The 25,085-nt window shown below is 41.1% G+C and overlaps 2 protein-coding genes across 27 annotated transcripts in view; both read left to right on the top strand.

The window, feature by feature from the left end:
• The window catches only part of VIPAS39 (VPS33B interacting protein, apical-basolateral polarity regulator, spe-39 homolog), a 30,927-nt gene extending 14,851 nt beyond the window's left edge, over positions 1–16,076 (top strand). For 12 of the 21 annotated variants that reach the window (NM_001400337.1, NM_001193316.2, NM_001400333.1 and 9 more), the window contains 11 exons: positions 89–191; positions 1,658–1,685; positions 4,870–4,943; positions 6,832–6,907; positions 7,358–7,492; positions 8,448–8,489; positions 8,820–8,909; positions 12,984–13,070; positions 13,656–13,745; positions 14,277–14,381; positions 15,115–16,076. In NM_001400337.1, the coding sequence (NP_001387266.1) occupies positions 89–191; positions 1,658–1,685; positions 4,870–4,943; positions 6,832–6,907; positions 7,358–7,492; positions 8,448–8,489; positions 8,820–8,909; positions 12,984–13,070; positions 13,656–13,745; positions 14,277–14,381; positions 15,115–15,135 (851 nt within the window). In that variant the 3' untranslated portion in view covers positions 15,136–16,076. Of the gene's footprint in view, positions 1–88; positions 192–1,657; positions 1,686–4,869; positions 4,944–6,831; positions 6,908–7,357; positions 7,586–8,447; positions 8,490–8,819; positions 8,910–12,581; positions 12,662–12,983; positions 13,071–13,655; positions 13,746–14,276; positions 14,382–15,114 lie in introns of those variants that run through there. The other 9 variants (NM_001400330.1, NM_001400332.1, NM_001400331.1 and 6 more) reach the window with 7 other exon arrangements.
• Positions 16,738–25,085, top strand: part of NOXRED1 (NADP dependent oxidoreductase domain containing 1) — a 31,993-nt gene continuing 23,645 nt past the window's right edge. For 2 of the 6 annotated variants that reach the window (XM_017020969.3, NM_001113475.3), the window contains exon 1: positions 19,228–20,016. In XM_017020969.3, coding sequence (XP_016876458.1) covers positions 19,862–20,016 — 155 coding nt within the window. In that variant the 5' untranslated portion in view covers positions 19,228–19,861. Of the gene's footprint in view, positions 17,167–18,545; positions 18,581–19,227; positions 20,017–25,085 lie in introns of those variants that run through there. The other 4 variants (XM_011536428.4, XM_005267330.5, NM_001394980.1 and 1 more) reach the window with 4 other exon arrangements.

Below are 25,085 nucleotides of genomic sequence, written 5' to 3'. Positions count from 1 at the left end.
TATTTGGAATGTGTGAGTAGGGAGACCAATTTCACACTTGACTAATTGGCTTTAATCTTTCTCAACTTAACTCCTGACTGTCTGACAGAGATCCTCTTCCGAGAGCTGGAGGTGCGACAGGTTGCCCTGAGACATCTTATTCACTTCCTTAAGGAAATAGGGGATCAAAAGTTGCTTTTAGACCTCTTCAGGTAAGAACTGATCATCTGGTCTATAAAGTTTAGTAAGTACTTGTTTCAAAGCACTCTGAGGGATACAAAGGAATAGAAGACGCCAACTGCCCTTTTCCTGGAAGTGCTTGGAAGACAAGCTATTGAAGTGTGAGGGGATAACTAGCAGTACAGCATAGCTTATGATAAGGTGCAAGTTGGTTAAGAACCAGGCTTTGGAGTCACATGCACTTGGGTTGAATGCTATTATAGGTCTCCCACATCATTCATTGAGTGACCTTGGCCAAGTTATCAACCCTCTTCATGAGTTTTTCACATCGATCAAATGGAGATGATGACACCTACCCACAGGGTTATTATGAAGATGAAGGGCTAGTATGTGAGCCAGCACTTAGCATAATACCTAGTTTGTAGTATTAGTATTTATTAAGTGTTTTCTTACAAAAGACCTAGAATAAAGGTATCTTTTATTACTTGATTCTAAGTGATACCAGTGGGAAGTACAGTAGAAGAGAAGAAGAAAATATTTTCAGTCAGGATACCCAGGGAAAGCCTCATGGAAGTGATTAGGATTTGCATGGGCCTATGAAACTAGGTAGGATTCTGATAGGTGAGAGGTAGGCATGTCTGCTGGGGGTAAAGAGGGCTGAGGTCTTCTATCATGTTTTTCTTCCCTCTAATTCCAGTCAGTGGGGACTATTTCCCACCTTTGGATTAAAATATGTGCACATGATGTCTTTTCTTCAGTGTCAGAGAAAGGGTTAGAACCTCTGTTTAGACTGACATGTGGCCCAAGGTGACTGATATCCAGTGACTCCAGCACAGCAATGAGCTCCCCAAAAGACTGAGGTGGGGAAAAGCAGGTTACCTGGTTAGGGTCAAGATTACAGATGTTAGCCAGGAATTTGCAAAAGAAGACATGGTCACAGAGGCTGGCTGCTTCCTCCCTCCTTCCTTCCCTCCCTTACTCTTTCCCAACCAACAGGGCTTTATCAGGCATCACCTCCATGCCAAAATGGTAATGTTAATTATGGTGGTCTATTCAGAGTAAAGAAGAATCAGAAGACAAAAGTCCTGGTGCTCCAAGGTCTGGGGGAGACAAAACACATTGTACTCTGTCCATGAAAACAGTAAAGAACAATATAGAAAATCTGTTTTCAAGATTGTATTGACAGAGAATAGTGCTTTAATCTTAGGAAAAAAAAAAACAACAACCAAGTTTTCTGTGGGCTAGAGTAGGTGGCTCTGAGCCTCCCTGTCAGAACTGTTAACAAAGTTATTAGTTCCTTGCAGTACCTTCTTGTCCTTGCTTTTTGTTCAGCCAGAGAGACCAGGGGAACAATGATATCTGATCAACCATTTATCTTGTGTATAGAGGGAAATGAGTTTGAATTGTGTTTCTCCTAGAGGAGGCACTCGATTTTGTGAGGTTATACTGCCACACATCAATAGATACAAATGCCCTGCTCCCTTCTGCTTCTTCCCAGGTTCCTAGATAGAACAGAAGAGCTTGCGGTAAGTGTGGCCTTTGTTTCAGTTGGGTACCTGTTTAACAGAAATCTAGGCTGGGCACAGTGGCTCACGCCTGTAATCCCAGCACTTTGGGAGGCCGAGGTGGGTGGATCACCTGAGGTCAGGAGTTCAAGACCAGCCTGGCCAACATGGTGAAACCCTGTCTCTACTAAAAATACAAAATTAGCTGGGTGTGGTGGCACGCACCTGTAATCCCAGCTACTTGGGAGGCTGAGGCAGGAGAATTGCTTGAACCTGGGATGGGGAGGTTGCAGTGATCTGAGATCGTGCCATTGCACTCCAGCCTGGGCAACAGAGTGAGACTCTGTCTCACGAACCCAGAAATCTAAGCCAAACCCCCGCCTCCAAGATCCCAGACTGATTGAACTATTTCCTTTGATATTGATTATATACAGAAGAGAGAGGCACCTGGAAAACCTGAAAACTTAATCCAAATGATGTATTCTTTCTTTTTATATGCTCTTTTGGTTGGGCTTATGAATAAATTTTAAAAAATAAACATGTGAAAATTGGCCTGGTCAATTTGTAATTTGTTTTTCGGTTGTTTTCAGGTCCTGGTTGTTAGGAGTTTTGGGGTTTTGGCTTCTCACAAAGAAAATGTTGAAGGCTAAGAGGATAAGAAACCAGATATAGGTCAAGAAGGAAGATAGGTCAAGTTGATGATACACCCAATACACGTTTTGGCTGAGAATTCAATGGCCAGGTGTTAAGATTAAATTTTGGCAGATTTTCACAATCATGGAATGAACTCCTGGAATACAAGAATAAATCTGAAATTTTACCAAAAACTCAGTTGTATTATTAAAACTTCAGCAATTCATGTTAAAAAAAAAAAAAAAAAACTTGGCAGGAATAAGAATTTCCAGCCAAGCACGGTAGCTTATGCCTGTAATGCCAGCACTTGGGAGGCTGAGGTGGGAGGAACACTAGAGTCCAGGAGTTAGAGAACAGCCTGGGCAACATAGTGAGATCCCATCTCTAAAAAAAAATTTAAAAAATTAGCAAAGCATGGTGGCGCATGCCTGTAGTCCCAGCTACCTGGGAAGCTGAGGTAGGAGAATCGCTTAAGTCTGGGAGGTCATGTCTGGGTGAAAGAATGAGACCTTGTCTCAAAGAATTTCTCAGCACTGTCGATGGCAGGATTGCTTTTTTAGTTATTGTACAACACATTTGTGATATCCATACAGACATTCAGTTGGCACATTAAATATTGTTAACCTTTGAACAGCATAATTATATATATAATACTGAAAATGCTTTTCAGAAACATGGTTTTTTTTTTTCGAGACAGGCTGGAGTACAGTGGTGCGTGATCATATAGTTTACTGCAGACTCTCAATTCCTGGCTCAAGCCTTAGGCTCCCAAGTAGCTGGGACTACAGGTGCACACGACCACACCTGACTAATTTTTAAAAATCTTTTTGTAGAGACGGGGGTCTCACTTTGTTTGCCAGGCTGGTCTTGAACTCCTAGCCTCAAGCTATCCTCCCACCTTGGCCTCCCAAAGTTCTGGGATTACAGATGTGAACCACCTCACCTGGCTCAGTAACATGTTTTCTGAAAGGAACTTGTACTTAATATTCAAAGCATGAGAGAATCTGAAAAATCCATTTTCTTAATCAACTAAAAATGATTGGCAGCCTGTAGTAATCATTTGAAAAGCTGTTTGTTTATATTTTTAAATCTCTGTAAGTTCAAAACTATAAGGATTTTTCTTCTTACAGCATTCTTATAAAGTTTTTTGTTTTGATTTTCATTAGTGAGAATAAATGTGTTTTGGGTAACTCATTTTTATCTAAAACTTTATTTTCTTTATACTCATTATGTTCGAATTGAAGATGATTTATCATGCATGTTGTTGTATATAGATTTTGAGTTTTTCAACCTTGTAAACTTTGGAAGTGGCAAAGCTGATAGTACACTTTTAGTGTATGCCCACAGAATATGAAGGTTTCCCATGTAGAACTTTTCTTGAAAGACCTAAGGATGAAATGGAATTGAATAACAAAAAATTAACTATAGCTCTTAAAGGTTACTTTCTTTAATATTAGGAATGATTGTATACCAACTATTTTATATGAACTATTTTACGAAGATTGGATTATGATATGTAATTTCTGTTATTCTGTCTTATGTTATTTACATTTTTACATTTACATTTTTATATACATTTACATTTTTGTATACATCTGTTGGCTCAATCTGAGAATATTTATGAACAGTGAGTCAGAATGACATGCCCTATTTATATTACTGATGTTAATTGTTAGATATTTACATGATCATACTACCATTGATCATGTACATGGTCAAGGATGCCAAAAATAACACTGAAATAGGTATTTAGCTCTTGGACTTTTCAAAATCTAAAGCTGAAGCAAAATATTCATTTTTGGTTAAATACTGAGGCTAAAGTGAAACTTAAAGGTAAAGCTTGGTACTCTATCTACTCAGTGCTTCATTATAGGTCAGCACTGGCCAATAGAACTTTCTACAATGATAGAAATATTCCATATTTGGGCCGGGCGTGGTGGCTCACGCCTGTAATCCCAGCACACTGGGAGACCAAGTTGGGCAGGTCACCTGAGGTCTGGAGTTCGAGACCAGCCTGGCCATCATAGTGAAACCCTGCCTCTACTAAAAGTACAAAAATTAGCCAGGCATGGTGGTGGGCACCTGTAATCCCAGCTACTTGGGAGGCTGAGGCAGGAGAATCGCTTGAACCTGGGAGGCAGAGGTTGCAATGAGCTGAGATTGTGCCATTGCACTCCAGCCTGGGCAACAAGAGTGAGACTTCGTCTCAAAAAAAAAAAAAAAAAAATTTTCCATATTTGTGTTGTCCAATATAGTAGCTCCTAGTCACATGTAGCTGTTGAGTTCTTTAAAAGTGGTTAGTGTTAACTAAGGAGGTGAATTTTTACATTAATTAATTTAAATTTAAAGAAACAGTTGTAGCTAGTGGCTATTGTATCGTACAGTGCAGTTATAGATAAACCTACTAATGATACTTAGTCACTCTTTGCCTATCCCCCCACCCGCCTCCAATAACCATCTATACCCAGAAATGAAGAATTTGTTTTTTTAAAGCATGGGAAGTTCAGTTAATCAGCTATCTCCCTCATCTAAGGAGACAAAATACCTCAAAGCCTTTTTCTGCTTTTTGTAGCTATCTCATTATCGAGAGCATTTGAACATTCAGGACCCTGACAAACGAAAAGAATTTCTTAAAACCTGTGTTGGGTAAGTATGGGGGAAAAATGATTTTAAGTATAAATACCTTTACCCAGAAGGAATGAAGAAAATTAAAAAGGGTGGAATGGATAGGCAGGAAGGGGAGGGCTAACAATGAATCATACCAGCATCATTCAGGGTCACCTCATGCAGTGGTGTTCACACACTAGTCCCCAGCAGAGTTTCCACTGCTTGATGGTAAACTGAGGAAAAAAAAAGACAAATGTAGAGAGATTTTTTTTCCTAAAGCTAAATTTATTTAATTTGAAAGGTTATCTTTTATTGTAGGATTTTGTCCTCACTCTTCTCTTCTTCTTTGGTACTAAAATGAGCTGTACCTTTTTTTATGACCTTAGGTAATAAAAAGATAGCAATACTTTAGGGACCTGATGCATTTTTTCAGTGTTACTGGTCCTTGAAACCCCAAAGTCCAAGAACCACTGATCCAGGGCAAGCTTTCATCCAGAATTTAACTTATTGCAAAACCCAGCTCCACATATTCCTGTGACAGGATGCCCGTTGCTCTTGAAACAGCTCAGTTTGTTTTTGAACAACCTTCGTTATTGGAAAGTGCTTCCTTACGTTAAGCTGAAATTTGCTTCCCTGTATCTTTCAAGACAGGTGTAGAGTCTACCCAGTAGTCCTTGCTTCTTCAGGTTCAGTACTCATGGTTGTTTCAACCATTCCTCATGTGACATGATTTCCCGGCTTCATGTTTAGAAATTTGATTATATCAGTGAAATCCATTTAATGTTACCAAATACTGAGATATGTTATATGGCCTCTGGAAAACAAGGAGAAAAGTTAAAATAGTGAAGTAACTAGAATTTATAGCATCTCTCTTTATCTCTTCTAAAAATTCACTATGGCTAAAACTTATCTGGAATAGTGTAATTAAAACTCAGAATTCTTCCTGGAGTGAGCAGAGTATGGGGAATAATGCAGCACTTTCTAAAAGATATATCTGTGAACTGGGCATTTAAAATCTGGCTTCTATTCTTGGCCTTCCCCATTGACCACATGACTTTTTGGCAAGACGCTGTCCCTCAGCATCTTCATGTATAACAATAATGTGGCCGGGCGCAGCAGCTCACGCCTGTAATCCCAGCGCCTTGGGAGGTTGAGGCAGGTGGATCACGAGGTTAGGAGATCAAGACCGTCCTGGCGAACATGGTGAAACCCTGTCTCTACTAAAAATACAAAAATAAGCTGGGCGTGGCAGCATACGCCTGTAGTCCCAGCTACTCTGGAGGCTGAGGCAGGAGAATTGCTTGAACTCAGGAGGTGGAGGTTGTAGTGAGCCAAGATCATGCCACTGCACTCCAGCCTGGGTGACACAGAGAAACTCCATCTCAAAACAAGCAGACAAACAAAAAACATAATGCAGTGTTGAAGATGGGACCCTTGACATTTGTGATATTTGCTGATCTATAAACATACCACCATGGCATGTAATTTAATTTACCTTTTGTACTCTGCCATAAAAAAATGGCTAACAAATCTAGGTGTCCCCTCAGTAAGTTAAGCACAAGCCACAGAATTTCACTGGGATGTGGATGATGGGCAGTTGCCTAGGCTCACTCATTAGCTTTGTGACTCATTCACCAAATATTCCAACTCTCAAAATGAGAGGATTCTAATTCATTTATCAGCAAAATTATGAGTGACTATAAGTATTTTGTGGACTCTCAGGATCCCTCTTGAATTGGCAAAACCTTTAATATGAAATTCACGCCATTCATGCGATGTCTTTCTTTAAGGGACGCTCTAAAGGTGAACTGAGATCAGACTTGTGAGGCACCGTGAGCCTCTTATACTTATGCTGGCGATTTGGTTTAGTTGGGTTTGTTTCCTTGTTTGAATAGAGAAAGGTACTAACCTTCTGGCACTCTACCAGTTTGCCATTTTCAGCAGAAGATTCCGCACACATACAGGACCATTACACGCTCCTGGAACGTCAGATCATTATTGAGGTTAGACTCTTCATCTCTATATCTTTTGCTTCAGTGCCAAGGCTCAGTGCCGTTCAGCATCTAGGAGATTTCTATGCTCTGCACGTGGGTCATTTCTTACTGGTTTCTAAAAGCCTTTCATTTTCTGCCTGTACACAATAGCCCCCTTCCTCCATTGTTTTTAGGATCCTTTTTCCTCTTACCAGCTGTTAACCTGGAAGTATTTCTTCTTCATCCCGAATCTCCCATGTCCTCCCCACTTCTATTTGTTTCCATCCAATGTGGATTCATGATCATTTGATGGATTTTAAACTACTCTGGGGATATCCTAGGCAATTTCTTTCTTTTTCTGTTCTTTGTTTCTCTCCTAGGGTGGGAAACACAACTGCTGTAGTATTAAAAGATTTTTCTCCTGCCTCTACTCCATGGACATTGTTTTTTTTTTTTTTCACTTGGCTCACTCCACCACAGGCAAATGATCGCCATCTAGAATCAGCAGGACAGACTGAGATCTTCCGAAAGCACCCCCGCAAAGCCTCCATCCTCAACATGCCACTAGTGACAACACTTTTCTACTCCTGCTTCTATCACTACACAGAGGCTGAGGTACAGGCAAAATATGGAAGATTCCACAAACTCTCATTGCACAAAAAGAAGATAGTTCAAATCCAGTACTTTTATGTACTCTATTAATAATGGGTATGTATAGTTCTCAGAAATCCACCTGGAAGCTTTCCTGGCCCTCACCAGGGGTAAGAGGGCCTCATCTGGCCAGGAGGGAAAAGAGGTTTGTAAGGTTTGTAGCTTCAAGTGAGCTGGCATGCTAGCATAGCAAGTTCTGTCCCTGGTGCTGTTACCTGTAGAAGTCTCTGTTCAAAGGTCCACAATATCAAATGGATTAGCATGATGTGGAGAAAAGCAGTAGGGTGGCAAGTAGCTATGGATACTTTTTTTTTTTTTTTCTCTGAGATGGAGTCTTGCTCTGTCGCCCAGGCTGGAGTGCAGTGGTGCGATCTTGGCTCACTGTAACCTCCGCCTCCTGGGTTCAAGCAATTCTCCTGCCTCAGCCTCCTGAGTAGCTGGGATCACAGGTGTGCGCCACCACTCCCCGCTAATTTTTTTTTTTTTGTATTTTTAGTAGAGACAGGGTTTCACCATGTTGGCCAGGCTGGTGTTGAACTCCTGACCTCGTGATCCACCTGCCTCAGCCTCCCAAAGTGCTGGGATTATAGGTGAGAGCCACCGCGCCTGGCTACTCTTTTTTTCTTTCTAAATTTTTCAAAGAAGTATGGATTCCATGATAACAGGCAGACATTTTCTCCTTATTTGGATTAGCAGAAAATGGGAAAAGGCACCATACTTATTACTCCAGTTCTTGATAAGCCAGCTTATAGTGGTATCTGACTATTCCCAATGGAGCTTTTCCCTGAAATTAATTTCTATGTTTAAATGGCAGCAGAGTAAGATGTAGAAAGTCTCTGTAGTGGGAAAGAAAATGAGAGCTTGGGTGGTACTTGGGAAAGTCAATATCACTAAAGTTCCTTTTTCACTTTCATCCTAGGGGACATTCAGCAGTCCCGTCAACCTGAAGAAGACATTTAAGGTAGATACAAATTGGTCAGTGTTATGAAACTAGTGATCAGGGTAACTACATGGAGTGGATGTTGCTTTGTAACCCTGTACAGTGTGTCCTTTGATATTCAAGGTTAAAGGTGGAAAGGAATGAGTTTGGGAAAGTGAGAGAAGACTGAATGGCCTATAGCAGTGCTGGGGCTTGGGAATTAAGAAGTTCTTGAACTGAGAAATTTTTTGATTTTTAAGGGGCAGAGTCAATATCAGGAAATATTTAATGTCTGTCTTTTCTAAAATTCTTAAGCACCCCCATTGATGTATTTCTACTTCCCCTTAATTTTTCTCGGTCTCTGCTTTCCAGATCCCAGATAAACAGTATGTGCTGACAGCCCTGGCTGCTCGTGCCAAGCTTCGAGCCTGGAATGATGTAGATGCCCTATTCACCACAAAGGTGTGTGCCCTGCCCCTGTGCTGCTGAGGCCTTGGGAGACAGAAGGGTTCTATCATGTTATAAGTTCTAGTTACCGGTTTACATTTTTCCTCCAACTTTTTATTTTCCAAAATTTCAAACCTAAAGAAAAGTTGAAAGAATGAATTTTATAGTTCATATAATAATCAAATATATACTATAATAGTATAATAGTCTTTATCCACATCACTAATTTATTAACAATTTTGCCATGTATGCTTTCTCTTTTTCTATACCTATGTGTTTTTCTTTTCTGAATCATTTGAAAGTAAGTTGTAGACATCTTAACACCTCTCCTTTAATACTACGTAAGCACAATATTGGGCTGGGCGCGGTGGCTCACGCCTATAATCCCAGCACTTTGGGAGGCCGAGGCGGGTGGATCACCTGAGGTCAGGAGTTTGAGACCATCCTGGCCAACATGGTGAAACCCCGTCTCTACTGAAAATACAAAAATTAGCTGGGTGTGGTGGTGTGCACCTGTAATCCCAGCTACTCAGGAGGCTGAGGCGAGAGAATTGCTTGAATCCAGGAGGCGGAGGTTGCAGTGAGCCAAGATTGCACCATTGCACTCCAGCCTGGGCAACAAGAGCAAAACCCTGTCTCAAAAAAAAAGAAGCACAATATAATTATCACTAAAAAAATTTAACATTAATATAATAATACATATTTAATCATGGTCCATATTTAAATTAGTTATTTATAGCTACTTTTGGTTTGCTTCTGTATTTTTTTCTATCAGGATCCAATCAAAGACCTTGGATTGAGTTTGGTTGTCATGTCTTTACTGATTTACCTTTTTTTAAATTAATTTTTATTGTATATATTTAAGGTACAACATAATGTTTTGATCTACATATACATAGTGAAATGATTATACAGTCATGCCAATTAACCCATCATCTCACAGTTAGCCATTTTTTGTGAGTGTGGTAAGAACCCCTAAAATTCACTCTCTTAGCAAATTTCCAGTATACACTACACTATTATTAACTGTATTCCTCATGCTGTACATTAGATTTCTAGATTTATTCATCCTGCATAACTACAACTTTGTATCCTTTGACCTACTTTTTTCCCCCTCTGGAAACTACTTTCTATGTGTTTGACTTTTTTAGATCCTACATGAGTGAGATCATGAGGTTATTTTCCTTTCTGTCTGGCTTATTTCACTTAGCATAATGTCCTCCAGGTTCATCCATGCTGTCACATGTCAGGATCTCCTTATTTTTTAAGTTCTGAATATATTCCATTGTATATATGTACCACAATTTCTTTATCCACTCATCCATCAATGGACACTTAGGTTGTTTCCATATCTTGGCTCTTGTGAATAATGCCACAATAAACATGGGAGTGTAGATGTCTCTGTGAGATGCTGATTGCATTTCCTTTGGATTTATATGCAATAGTGGGATTGCTGGATCATATAGTAGTTCTGTTTAAACATTTTTGAGGAACGCCTATACTGTTTTTCATGATGGCTGCACTAATTTACATTCCCACCGACAACAGTGTACCAGGGTCCCTTTTCTCTATACCCTTGCCAACACTTGTTATCTTTCTTCTTTTTTTAAGATAAATGTTATTATATATTGTATATACTTAAGTTATACGATAAGATGTTATGAGATACATGTAGAGAGTAAAATGGTTACTACAGTGAAGCAAATTAACATATCTATCATCTCAAATTATTTTTTTGTGGCAAAAACAGCTAAAATCTACTCATTTAGCAAAACTCCTGATTACAGTACAGTACTATTAACTACAGTCCTCATCTTGTAATTAGATCTCTAAAGCTAATATTCCAGCATGTATGTATATATATACCATAGTTCCATAGTTTCTGTATCCATTTGTTTGTCAATGGACACTTAAGTTGTTTCCTTATCTTGGCTATTTTTTAGGGAGAGGGAATTATTTATTTGTTTATTATTTTTGTAAGTTACAGATATTTAAATTCTCAGCAATAATTTATAATAGTTACATTTCATGAATAGTTAACATCTCATGAATAGTGTTACAATGAATGTGGAAATGCAAGTATCTTTATGAGGTGATGATTTCATTTATTTTGGGCATATACCCAAAAGAAAGATTGATTACTGGGTCATATGATAGTTCTATTTTTATTTTTATTTTTACTTTTTTGAGAGAGGGTCTCACTCTGTCACCCAGGCTGAAGTGCAGTGGCATGACCGTAGCTCACTGCAGCCTGTTTTCCACATTGGCTACACCAATCTACATTCCCACCGACAGGGTACAAGAGTTCCCTTTCCCCACACCCTTGCTAACACATCATTTGTCTTTTTGATAACAGTCATCTTAACAGGTGTGAGGTGATATCTTATTATAGTTTTGATTTGCATTTCCCTGATGTTTAGTGATACTGATCACCTTTTCATGTACTTCTTGGCCATTTCCATGTCTTCTTTGGAGAAATGTCCATTCAAGTCTTTTGCCCATTTTTAAATCTGGCAATTTTTGTTTCTGCTATTGCATTGTGTGAGTTCTTTATATGTTTTAGATACTAATCCCTTATCAGATATGTGGTTTACAAATATTCTAATCCATAGGCTGCCTTTCATTTTGATTGTTTCCTTTGCCATGCGCAGCTTTTTAGTTTGATGTAATCCCATTTATTTTTGCTTTTGTAGCCTGAGCCTTTGGTGTGATATCCAAAAAAATCATTGCCAAGGCCAATGTCAAGGAGCTTTTTCCCATGTTTTCTTCTATGAGTTTTATGGCTTCAGGTCTTATGCTTAGGTATATTATCCATTTTGAGTTGATTTTTGTGTATGGTGTAAGATAAAGGTCTAATTTCATTCTTTTGCATGTGGAAATCCAGTTTTCCCAGCACCACTCATTGAAGAGACTATCCTTTCCCCATTGGGTCCTCTTGGTGCTTTTGTTGAAAATTAGCTGACCATATATGCTTGGGTTTATTTCTAGGCTCTCTATTCTATTCCACTGGTCTATGTGTTTGTTTTTATGCCAGCCCCGTACTGTTTTGATTAATATATGTAACTTTGTAATATAATTTGAAATCATGAAGCATGTTGCCTCCTACCCCTACCCCCCCTTTTTTTTTTTTTTTCTTTTTTGAGACAGAGTCTTGCTCTGTCACCCAGGCTGGAGTGCAGTGGTGCAATCTCAGCTCACTGCAACCTCTGCCTCCAGGGTTCCACTGAATCTCCTGCCTCAACCTCCCGAGTAGCTGGGATTAAAGGCATGCGCCACCCTGCCCGGCTAATTTTTGTATTTTTAGTAAAGATGGGGTTTCACCATGTTGGCCAGGCTGGTCTCGAACTCCTGGCCTCAAGTGATCCGCCCACCTCGGCCTCCAAAAGTGCTGGGATTACAGACATGAGCCACCGCACCTGGCCTCCATTTTGTTTTTCTTTAACATTGATTGCTTTGGCTATGTGGGATCTTTGGCGGTTCAATATGAATTAGTTTACGTTTTAAATATCTGTTTTTCCATTATGGGTTTAAAAATTTTCTGTTTTTCCTATTTGTTAATTATTTAATTAGTTATATTAACAAAGCAATATGTGTCTGTTGTCAAAATCAAACACTGTATTAAAGTATAGAAAGAGTGAAGTTCCTTTTTCATTTTCTACCTACTCCTATCTCACCCCCTTTCTCAAGGCAAACACTGTTAAAAGTTTAATGGGTAGCTTTCCAGACCTTCCCTCATGAATTTGCAAATAAACATCTGTACTTACAAAGATATGGAAGATGGAATTATTTTCTACATTGATAAGTTCATACTACAAATATTAAGTAAGTTACTTATCCCATTTAGTAGTATTTCAAGACTTTTCCCTGCATTCGTTTCTATAGATCTAAGAAGTTATTTCAAACCTGATTCATTTCCACTCTCTCAAATCCCTTGATTTTTCTGAAAAATTCATTTCTCATTATTTCTGTATCCCTCAGCACCCCCACTCACCCACCACATTATTCTGGTCTGATCGTAAAACATAGACTAACCTAGAATGTGTTGAGTGTGCCTGGCCTACCTGCCGCTACCCCATCTTCCTCTTTCAGAACTGGCTGGGCTATACCAAGAAGAGAGCACCCATTGGCTTCCATCGGGTTGTCGAAATTTTGCACAAGAACAATGCCCCTGTGCAGGTAATGGGTCCTGAAGAGAGTTGGGTACAGGATATTCTTGGAGACCTAACTTTAAGCCTCTTACTGGTCAGTGATGGGAGACCCGATCTGCTCTTGTTTTCCCTTAAAGGCAGCACAATGGCTGCAATAGGCCTCAAGACAGAAAAGGCCAGGGAGTGAAATTCTCTCCCTTTCTCCCCTTTAGAAACAATTCCAAACTGTCCTCTCTGAGTAGCATCTACTGTGTTAGCCCAAGTGGAATACTGATGTACTGTTCAAATGATAGAAAAGGAGAACTCGTGGAGAAAAGACATCAGGGAGAAATGAGCAGAGCACTGGATCACAGCTAGAGCACTCATTGCTGGCATGTGTATCTGGCTCGAGGATCAGGAGAAGTGTGCTCTTTCCTGCTTACTGAGGCAGCATGGAAGTACTGTGTAGCGTTACCTCATTCCCATTGCAGAACTAGTCCTGTGGTTGATGATGGAAACTGGAAACATTAGCTATTGAACTCTTTTGCCTTCTTCAGGACTTTCTTTTCTACCTTGTAGAGCTCTGTGCCTTATGGGTGTTTGAATCATTAATCGGAAGTACCTCTTCCCACAGATATTACAGGAGTATGTCAATCTGGTGGAAGATGTGGACACGAAGTTGAACTTAGCCACTAAGTTCAAGTGCCATGATGTCGTCATTGATGTGAGTCCCCAAGAAATGGGAGTCCTCCGTTAGATCCTCAGTGGCGAAGCAGGGTGGGGATTATAATATTCTCTGTCCAAGATCCTGAGGTGCTCCCACCAGGTTTGACTGAATGGACAGAATAATCTGGCAAGAGTTTGTTTGGAGACCAGCACTCCTGTATTATTTTCCCAGCCCTCTGACTGCTTTCTCTGTGTTTTTATAAACTTGTCGTACTTGGAGAATTCATAGAACTAAATCAAGCTATACAAGCTGTGTAGTCTTCTCTCCAACATGGAGTTCTGTGGGCACTGGACCCCACTGTTATCCCACTATAGCCTCTTAGCCTCTCCTTGAGCGTTGGGTCAAAGTGATAATGACAAAAAGAAATAAGCCCTCATGTGTACACAGTAGCACACACCAGTAGTTCCAGCTACTCAGGAGCCTAAGGAGAGAGGATTGCTTGAGCCCAGGAGTTTGAGACCATCCTGGGCAAAAAGAACCCTGTACAGAGGCTGATTGGAGGTTTGTATTGTTTGTTTTGATGCACAGACCTACCGGGACCTGAAGGATCGTCAACAGTTGCTAGCATACAGGAGTAAGGTAGATAAAGGATCAGCAGAGGAGGAGAAGATTGATGCTCTTCTCAGCAGCTCGGTGAGCAGCTACAGTTCACCCCTCCAGCAGGCTCAGGAGACAGACAGTTCACAAAATAGTACCAAATGTATGTTCCCAAGGTCTGGAAGGATTGCAGTTGGCTAAGCCACATGGATGTAAGGCTCTCCTCTGGCCACAATGTCAAAAGCACTGCTTTGAATAGCAGAAATTACTCCTGAGATGCGGTATGATAGGGGGGTAATCTGGGGACCTCAAGCTAAGACTTAACTGTAATGCTGTGATAATAGTTAAACCTAGCATGTAGGAGAAACTAAATATTGAAAGTATGAAAACATGTTACAGATTCAGAATATCCAAACTGTATGGTCTCGTGGGGATGGATGGGACCTACCAGTTGAAAATAAGAAGTGGGTGAAATAGATGTTAGCTACCTGGGGAGCACAGCTGGTTCGTCTCTCACAGCAGGAAATTACTGAGCTCTTTGTTAATATGAAAGTTAGTTCCCTGTTAGGTATTTTGGAACCTACCTTAGGGTCAAATGACCAAAATTAGGCTTGTAAAATACAAAATAGGTGTTTAATGCATCTTTGAATAAATGAACTCCCCCATATATTTTAAAAAATTTCTCAACATCCCCCACCTCCTGATCTGATTCTACTTTTTCTTTTCCTTACATTATCTAGCTGAGCCTTGTTTTGTTGCATTTTCTCTGCCTTGCTGTAGGGATAAGTGAAAACTGATCACACACTTTCATTGTTTCCTCTTTCCACAGCAAATTCGATGGAAGAATTAAGTGGCATTGACTACCTTGAAGCCTGCCTCATTTCCTCCTCTCCTGCCTGTGAAAGCAGAGAGAGCTCTTCTTTGGGAGAGCTGCGGCATCACATCGCTTGGGCCCATTACCCATGGGCAGTGCCAGCTACTCTTGACACAGATAACTTCAGACTGATCTTCTGTCCAAGGAACATCATCTGAGGATCGAGATCTAAAGCTTTGAGTCATGAGAATGATTCTCTCCACCTGGTGCTCATATGAAGGTGGGAGTGATTTCTAGATTGGGCCCCTACTGGGTAAGATCTCACTTGGTCTGAGAAAAGTGACTGCTCCAGAAAGGAAGAGGTATGGGAGTCATAGGGTGGCTACTGCATTCCACTCAGCTAATTATGATCCAGGACTTGGCGCTGGACATTGGCAGTTCTGCTCTGAATGAAGTCAGAACAGAACCAAAATGGCCTCAGGAAGGAATGCCAGTGTTTCCCAAGACCTCCTGGAGATGCACTCACACCAGACTGCACAGACCCCTCCACATTATGCCACACATGGCCTAGACGTTGTGTTTCCTCAGCCATTTTCCCTCTGCTGCCCCAGTTTACTCTGTCCAAAACCCTAAGGTTCTTCTCTCACTTGAACACAGACGACCTTGCTTGGGTGATGAGACATCCCCTTTATCTCTTCCTCTACTGCTGGCCAAGACCCGTCACTTTATAAGAAGCTCAGATGCAGCAGTGCTGGAGAGCTCTCTCTTTATGCAAAAATCTCATTTCACCAGGAGCTTTCAGAAGTTTCACCTGGGCTAAATTCAGCAGCATTTCTGTTAGGATATTTAGATGGAGGTTTTATTTTCACACTTGGATTCTTGCTCTGTACCAATATTTGCCTCCTTTTCTGTGACTGAACTGGGTTTTTCTGACATGCCTAGACTCCTAATAAAGGTATTTCTTCCTTGGTGCCTTCTCTCCCGCTCCTGGTGGTTTTGTGTAGAATGATGAAATAATTGCTCAGGATCTTAGGATCATTACAAGTCTTCCTCAGTGACTGCATTTAGCAGCCTGTCGGCACATGTCAGGTTATAGAGTAACAGTGCTATGGCAAAGCAGGGCTGTGTGGTTAACAGAAACAGCACGGTGCTGGGAGACACAAGACCTGACTTTTTCCAGCTCTACCACTAAATAGTTATGTGATGCTGGGTGAGTCCCTTTCTTTCTCTGGATTCATTAGATAATCTAAAATTTTGTAGAGTTTGTTTGTTTGTGAGATGGTGTCTCGCTCTGTCGCCCAGGCTGGAGTGCAGTGGCGCTCTCAGCTCACTGCAACCTCCACCTCCCAGGTTCAGATGATTCTCCTGCCTCAGCCTCCCAAGTAGCTGGGATTACAGGCACCTGCCACCACGCCCAGCTAATTTTTGTATTTTTAGTAGAGACAGGGTTTCGCCATGTTGGCCAGGCTGGTCTCAAACTCCTGACCTCAGTTGATCCGCCTGCCTTGGCCTCCCAAAGTGCTGGGATTATAGGCATGAGCCACCGCACCCGGCCTGTTTTTTTAAATAGACATGGTCTGTCACCCAGGCTGGAGTGCAGCGGCACCGTCATGGCTCACTGCAGCCTTGACATCCCAGACTCAAGCAATCTTCCTGCTTCAGCCTCCTGAGTAGCTGGGACTACAGGCACGTGCCACCACACCCAGCTAACATTTTGTAGAGTTCTGTGCTCCTGTGACTGTGGAGTGGGTGAAGTCATAGAAGGCAAAGAGAAGATGCTCCTACAGAGGCACATGCCATGCCTTAAGGCAATATGGCTCTCAACTGGAGGCAGTTTTGCCCCTCAAGAGACATTTGGCAATGTTCGAAGTTGCTTTCTGTTGCCACACTAGGCGTGCTACTGGCATCCAGTGGGTAGAGGTCAGGGACGCTGCTAAACGCCCTACAATCCACAGGACAGCCCCACAACAAAGGATTATCCTGCCCACATGTTAGCAACACCAGTGTTGAGAAACTGCTTTAAGGGGATCAGACTCCATCTTTTGCTCCTCCACTTTGCAATTCCAGGTAACCTCATATTTAGTTCCTTTCTTGATCATCCTTCTTGCTATTGAAGAAACAAGAGTTTAATTTGCTAGATTGTACTAAAATTATTGGTTCATCTTCAAACAAACAGTGGTTACTTTATTAACTAGTATATTGGTTAGGGTTCATTTAGAGAAGCAGAACCACTAGGCATATATATGCATTATCTAATCTAATCTAATCTAATCTATATCTGCTGTTTGTTAGAGAATTTTGACCTTTCTCTGACCTGTTTAGAGAAATTGGATGAGAAGTACCGAGGAGTAGAGCCTGTCTTTTCTGTTTGAGTACTTCCACTCAAGTATGGCAGCTGGAGGGTGTGTTTAACGTAGTTGTCTTCATGTCCAGTGGTAGAGCTTGAAATCCATAGGGAAGGCCGTGAAGAAGGGAAGATCATTATAAAGTGAGTGAGCAGGGACAAGCTAGAAACCATGAGAAGGGACTGGGACCCATGTCAGTTCTCACAGCCTCAAACCTTGATGAGGTGGGTGTCCCGCTGCTGGAAAAGCTAGTGGCCTTTGTCATGGAAATGAAAAACACCTGGCCCAGGAGTGAGCAACTGAAGAAGGAACCAGGGAAGATGTAGCAGTTACAGGCCCAACTGTTGCCCCTCACCAACAAGGTACTCAGCAGATAAACAACAACATGTGTGAACTACAAAAGTACTTCCCCTGATTATGCACACTGAAACACAGACTGGTTACTGTTCATTTCCACCCTCCTGATCTTGCATAGAAATATCTCTGGTGGTCCACCTTAACTGGAAACATACAGGGAAGGACATTCTGGAAATTGCAGTTCAGCCTAGCCAAGGTGACATAATACAAAATATAACAACTGATCCCCACTTTTGAGAATGCATAAGTAAAGGATAGGCCTAGAATTCATGTCTGTACAACTTGTATGCTGCATTGGTCATGCTAATCTAGGTTTTGAGCTTCTTTTTCCTTCGGAGCAGGAAGCATTACTTGGCAACATTAGGATGACCTACTGACTGTTTTGGTGTAAGAAAATGTTTCTTAGGTTTGATGAGAACGTCCATGCCCCTCATTTCAAGTGCAGAGACTTTGCTTTTACTTTATTTTATTTTTTATTTTTTTGAGATGGAGTCTCCCTCTGCCGCCCAGGCTGGAGTACAATGGCGCAATCTCAGCTCACTGCAACCAACGTCCATCTCCCAGGTTCAAGCAATTCTCCTGCCTCAGCCTCCTGAGTAGCTGAGATTACAGACGTGCCACCACACCCAGCTAATAAGTAGCTGCCACCATGCCCAGCTTTTTAGTAGAGATGGGGTTTCACCGTGTTAGTCAGGCTGGTCAAACTCCTGACCTCAAGCGATCCGCCTGCCTCGGCCTCCCAAAGTGCTGCGATTACAGGCGTGAGCCACCACGCCAGGGTGAGACTTTGCTTTTAAAGAGATGGTGTCGTCATATAACAGCCTTCCTATAAAAGGGATTAGAGAAGCCAGACACAAAAGGTCACATATTGTATGATTCCATTTATATAAAATATCTGGAATAGGTAAATCCATTCAGACAGAAAGCAGATTGGTGGTTCCAGAGGCTGAGGGTGGGGAGGGATAGGGAGTAACTGCTTAATGGGTGTAGGCGTTCCTTTTGGGAATATGAAAGTATTTTGCAACAAGATAGAGGTGGTGGCACAACATTCTGAATGTACTGATGAATTGTTCACTTTAAAATGGCTAATTTTATGTTATGTGGATTTCACCTGAAAAAATTTTATTGGTTTCTTGAACACAAAAAGAAGGAGTTGTAAACTAACTCAAGTAGTGCTAAGATCTGTAAGATATTCTAGTCTGCAAAAAAAACCCCTAGAAATCCAGAATCTTCTGTTGGGAAAAGGAGGGTCTCATACTGCTCTAGTGTAGTACTCCTAGAAATAGTGGAAGGAACTCATGTCCTGATACGCAGCTCAGGAAAACCTCTAAGTGGGGCTGGCCTCTTTAAGACTTAGAGACTGTAATCTGGTAGTTAAGGAGTCATAATCACAAGTTTCTTGGTAATTCTCCTTAGAAATGTAGTTCTTACCTTCCAGGATCAGAAGTACTGAGGAGCAGAGCCAATCTTCTCTGTTTGGTGATAGATATATGTAGATGGGTTTATATGACTTTGAGTTTAGTTTGTAAAATCTAGATGTCCCTGCCCTAGACAGGGGACAATGATATTTAGTTTGGGTTATTTTGTACCCTGTGGAGAACAGAGTTTAGTGAAAGGGAAGCATTTCTTTGAAATGTGGTTCTATGTGTTCAGTCCTATTTCCAAAACGCAGGAGGGAATGGAAGGGAAAACGTCCTGGCCCAAGAATACCTGTAAAACTCAATTGCTGTTGTAAATTCATCTGCCGAAAACAGTGCCTGTAACCTGTGTGGAGAAACAATACTTTGGGTTTCTGTACAGGTTTTTCATGAGTCCAGGATTCATGGGCAGCCAGTGATTAGGAATCCTCAAACACTCACACTCTAGAGTGTGAATTCAAGAGAGGTGAATTCCAAATTCAGAATCTGGGAGTAGAGAGGTGCTGAAGCCCATCATCATGAGTGCTTGTGACCTGGGCACACACACCATCATACACACACCTCCTACATAGACCCCTCTTCTACCGGGACAGGGAGCCAAATTGATTAGTGTCTATCACTGCAGGAAATAGTGGCTTGGAAATGGACATGCTCCAGGACCTTGAGTCCCTGCAGTTTGAGTATGGGGTTCCAGAGGAAGATCGTATCTGGCTGTATTTGCAGGGCCGTTCTCGGGGACTGATGATCGAGGCTTGTGCCCATGCAACCTTCTTCTGCAAACTATTATATAATTTGAGGTAAGCCGAGTATCCAAATTCAGGAAGATGGACAAGAATCTCACTGCTGAGAATTCAAATGTCTTAAATTTTTTTTATATTGGAGGGTAAGTTTGGCTGGTGGATTGTCATCCTATCTTTTCCAACCCAGAGTCAATGACTCCTGGTCTAAAAGGACAGGAAAATCTATACCAGGGTCCCCTGGCTGTGGTTACATAATAAAGCATGGATTAGTAGTGATTACCTTTTAGTGGATGGATTGATTAAATGATCATTTATTCATCCATTCACTCAGTCATCATGACCACCAGCTTGCCCTCCACAGTTGCTAATGTCTAGCCATTCCTTATCTATTGGCAAGGAATGCAAATGGAATCAGTTCTTTCTTTTGGGGCTGAGGTAATAGTGGAATGCTCCCTTACAGGAAGCTACCCGGGACTTCACAGGCCCTGTGCCAGTGACTTCCTTGAAACCAGGAATATTGATTTGCAGAAAAGCTGTCAGTCCAGTCTTGATTCTGATATCTTTCTACAATATGGCTTCAGACACTTAAATAGGAAATGTGTGTGAAGCAGGTACCTATAATTAGGCTTCTGAATTCTGCAACTCCAGGTCACTCTGGGAGCATATGTCACCTCCTCACTCTACTTCTTAGTTTTTCTCTGAAGTTAGATTAATTCCTAGATGGTGGGACCAAATTTGAATTGAACATGTTTATAGATACAGCACATGTCCAAGGAGGCAGGCTTCTCAGTGAATTTACTGACTGGCTTACTGATAAGGATGCATAAACCTATTGGTGGTACTCAATATGACTGGGAGAAAACAATATATGAAACTTGCAGGTGGCATTTTATATTTGGAAGGATCAGGCACTAAGAGAAAATGCTCTTTCAACCAGGAGAGAAGGCTTAAATAGAGAGTGACTTATGTTGCTTAGAAGCAAAATCCAGAGCTTTAAGACACTGGTTTTTACAGAAATACAGAACAAATATAAGGCTGTCATATAGCAACGAAAGTATACCTTATGTATTCAGAAGTCTGACTTTGTTAATCTTGCGCCAAGGAAACACATCCAGCACCAACAGTAAGTGAACCTCTGGAAATAGTGGTCTGAAATCTTCATCCTTAGTTTCTCAGTTCTGTTCTTTTTTGTTTTGTTTTTGTAGTTTAAAGTTGTACCCTGAATGAACACTGTTTTGTTTTTATAAACCATTTATGTGTATAAGTCATAACCTTCTTAAAAAGCCAAGTTATCTGGTTTCTCAAGTCTGCAGATTTGAAATAGCAAACTAGAAAGAGTGGGTGTATCGTAGGAAAGGAATGCACTCACATCTAATAGCAATAAAAATTGACATCTGTCTCAGATTGGTATCAGTAAGATGAAGAAATAGGAAGCTCCAGACTCTGTAACCTCGAGACACTAACTTAACAACAATATATGGTCCAAAAAGCCTTTATGAAACCTCCAGCAAGCACTTAAGAAATTGTAGTGCCCTGGAGAGGTACAAATCCAAGAACAGCTGCATTTACAGGGGTAAGAAAAGCCATTGCAGTTCACCTAAGATATCCCTTTCCTCAAGCCAGCCTCAGGTGATCAGGAGAAAATGCCTAATTTGTGGCTTCTCCTTTGGAGGGAAAAAGAAAAATGGAATGTTTGTCCACTGTTCTGCCTTTTTGGGGGCTGCCTGAGGGATTGGTTTCTGTCTCACATGACTTGGAGCACTGATGAGGAACCAACATATTTTGGATGAAAACAAAGGATCACTCAGTGGCTTGTTGCAGTACAGAGAACCTGCAGTACTGCAGATAGATACCAAAGTGAGGAAAAGATTATCAGCCCCTGCAATAGAAACAGGCAAAACTCTTTAATTGGGAAATTCCAAACTCAAGCCCAGAGAAGACACATTCCTGGAAAGATTTGACAGGCCCCAGAATCTCTAGCTGGGCTGATTGGGAAAGATCTTCCCCTGTATGGTGCCAGTCTGTAAAGATTGGGAGAGGCCTGACTGTTTTTTCAAATGCCCAAATTCCACCAAAAATTAAAAAGGCAATATTGCTCAACCATAAGAACAAACTACTGCAGAAACCAGCCCTAAAGAAACAGATCTGTGAGTTACCTAACAAAGAATTCAAAGTAATAATCTTAAAGAGGCTCAATGAGCTACAAAACACAGAAAAACAACTAGGCTGGGCAAAGTTTACAGATTACAGATTACAGGCCTGTAATTTGTAATTACAAATTACAAATTACAAATTACAGGCCTGTAATCCCAGCAGTTTGGGATGCTGAGGTGGGAGGATTATTTGAGCCCAGGAGTTTGAGACCAGCCTGGGCAACATAGTGAGACCCTGTCTCTGAAAAAACAAAACAAAACAAAAAAAAACTGATGAAATCAGGAAAACAATACATGAATAAAATAATATCATAAAGAGAAACTAAGAACCAAAATTTGGAGCTGGAGAGCACAATAATTGAATTGAAACAACTCACTAGAGTGGTTCAACATTAGACTTGATCACACAGAAGAAAGAATCAGCAAATTTGAAGACCAGTTATTTGAAATTATGAAATCAGAAGAGCAAAAAGAAAAGAAAAGTGAAGAAAATCTAGAGGACTTACAGGATACTATCAAGTGGGTCAATATATGCCTTATGGGAATGTCAGAAGGAGAAGAGAGGCAGAGCAAGGTGCAAAGAGCTTATTTGAAGAAATAATGGCCAAAAACATCCCAGATCTGAGGAAGGAAATGGACATCCAAATTCAAGAAGCTCAGAGGACTCCAATTTGGATGAACCCAAAGAGGACCACACAGAGACACGTTATAATCAAACCATCAAAAGTCAAAGACAAAGAATACTGAAAGCTGCAAAGAAAAAGCAACTTATCACATGCAAGGGAGTTCCCAGAAGACTATTGGTGGCTTCTCAGCAGAAACATTACAGGCCAGAAGGGAGTGCTTGATATATTCAAAGTGCTGAAAGGGGAAAGAAAAAAAAAACCTGTTGGTCAGGTGTGGTGGCTCACGCCTGTAATCCCAGCACTTTGGGAGGCTGAGGGGGGCGGATCACGATGTCAGGACATCGAGACCATCCTGGCTAACATGGTGAAAAACCGTCTCTACTAAAAATACAAAAAATTAGCCGGGCGTGGTGGCGGGCGCCTATAGTCCCAGCTACTTGGGAGGCTGAGGCAGGAGAATGGCGTGAACCCGGGAGGCGGAGGTAGCAGTGAGCCACGATTGCACCACTGCAGTCCAGCCTGGGCGAAAGAGCGAGACTCTGTCTCAAAAAAAAAAAAAAAAAAAAGGAAAAAGAAAAAAAAAAACCTGTCAACCAAGAATACTATCTCTTGCAAACCTGTGCTTCAAAAACTAAGGAGAAGCTGGGCATGGTGGCTCACATCTGTGACCCCAGCACTTTGGGAGGCCGAGGCGGGCAGATCTCCTGAGGTCAGGAGTTCAAGACCAGCCTGGCCAACGTGGTGAAACCCTGTCTCTACTAAAAATACAAAAATTAGCTGGGCATGGTGGCAGGTACCTGTAATCCCAGATACTTGGGAGGCTGAGGCAGGAGAATTGCTTGAACCCAGGGAGGCAGAGGTTGCAGTGATCTGAGATTGCACCACTGCACTTCAGCCTGGGTGACAATAGCAAAACTCTATCTCAAGAAAAAAAAAAAAAAAGAGAAAGAAAGAGCTTCCCAGATAAACAACAACAAAAAACCTCATCACTCCTGGACCTGCCTTACAACTAATGCTGAAGGGAATCCTTAAGTTGAAATGAAAACATGCTAGTCAACAACACAAAAGTATACAAAAATAAAAAGCTCTCTGGCAAAGGTGAATATATAGCCATATACATAATACTGTGATGGGTGGCACATAAATCATTTTTAATTGTGGTATAGGATTTAAAGATAAAAGCTGGCCAAGTGTGATGGCTCACACCTGTAATCTCAGCACTTTGGGAGGCCAAGGCAGGAGAATTGCTTGGGCTTAGGTGTTTGAGACTAGCCTGGGCAACATAGGGAGACAACATCTCTTAAAAAAAAAAACAATTAGCTGGGCATAGTGGTACACACCTGTGGTCTCAGGTACGTGGTAGTCTGATGTGGGAGGATTGCTTGAGCCTGGAAAGTAGAGGCTGCAGTGAGCAATGATCATGTCACTGCACTCTAACCTGGGTGACAGAGCGAGACCCTGTCTCATAAATAGATAAATAAAATGTATATAAAAATGTAAATATAGAAATAATAAAATGTATAAAATAAAATTATAAATATCAATAAGTATAAATATAAATAATAAAAATTAAAAATAGGCTTGGCACGGTGGCTTACGCCTGTAATCCAGCACTTTGGGAGGCTAAGGCAGGCGGATCGCTTGATTCCAGAAGTTCGAGACCAACCTAGGCAATGTGGTAAAACCCTGTCTCTACTAGAAATAACAAAAATTAGCCAAGTATGATGGTGTGTGCCTGTAGTCCCAGCTACCTGGGAGGCTGAGGCGGGAGGATCACCTGAGCCCAGGAGATCAAGGCTGAAGTGAGCTGTGTTCACGCCACTGTACTCTAGCCTGGGCCACAGGGTGAGACCCTGTCTCAAAAATAAAAATACTAAAAAAAAACCTATTACTATAAAACCATGCTAATGGATACAAAATATCCAAAAGATATAATTCATGAGATAAATAACAAAAAGCAGGGGTAGGGGAAGATGAAGTAGAGTTTTTGTATATGATTGACATTATCATCTTAAAATAGGTTGTTACAACTATTTTTATGATTTTTATGCAATTTCCTACGGTAACTACAAAGAAAATACCAACAACAAAAAGAAAATAATGTCATTACAAAAAAAAAAAATCAGTGAAATACAAAAGAAGGCAGCAAGAGAGGAAAAGAAGAACAAAACTGCAACACAGAGAAAAAAACAAACTGGCAGTGATAAGTCCTTCCCTATCAGTAATTATTTTAAATGTAAGTGGATTAAACCCATCAATCAAAAGATACCGAGTGGCTGAATGGATAAAAAACAAAAACAAAAACAAGATCCAACGTATATCTTGTCTTCAAGAGACTCACTTTAGA

This window comes from Homo sapiens, chromosome 14 (assembly GCF_000001405.40).
Source record: "Homo sapiens chromosome 14, GRCh38.p14 Primary Assembly".
Taxonomy (NCBI): Eukaryota; Metazoa; Chordata; class Mammalia; order Primates; family Hominidae; genus Homo; species Homo sapiens.
The sequence above is the reverse complement of the archived record's forward strand: the minus strand, read 5'-3'. Positions and strand labels throughout refer to the sequence as shown.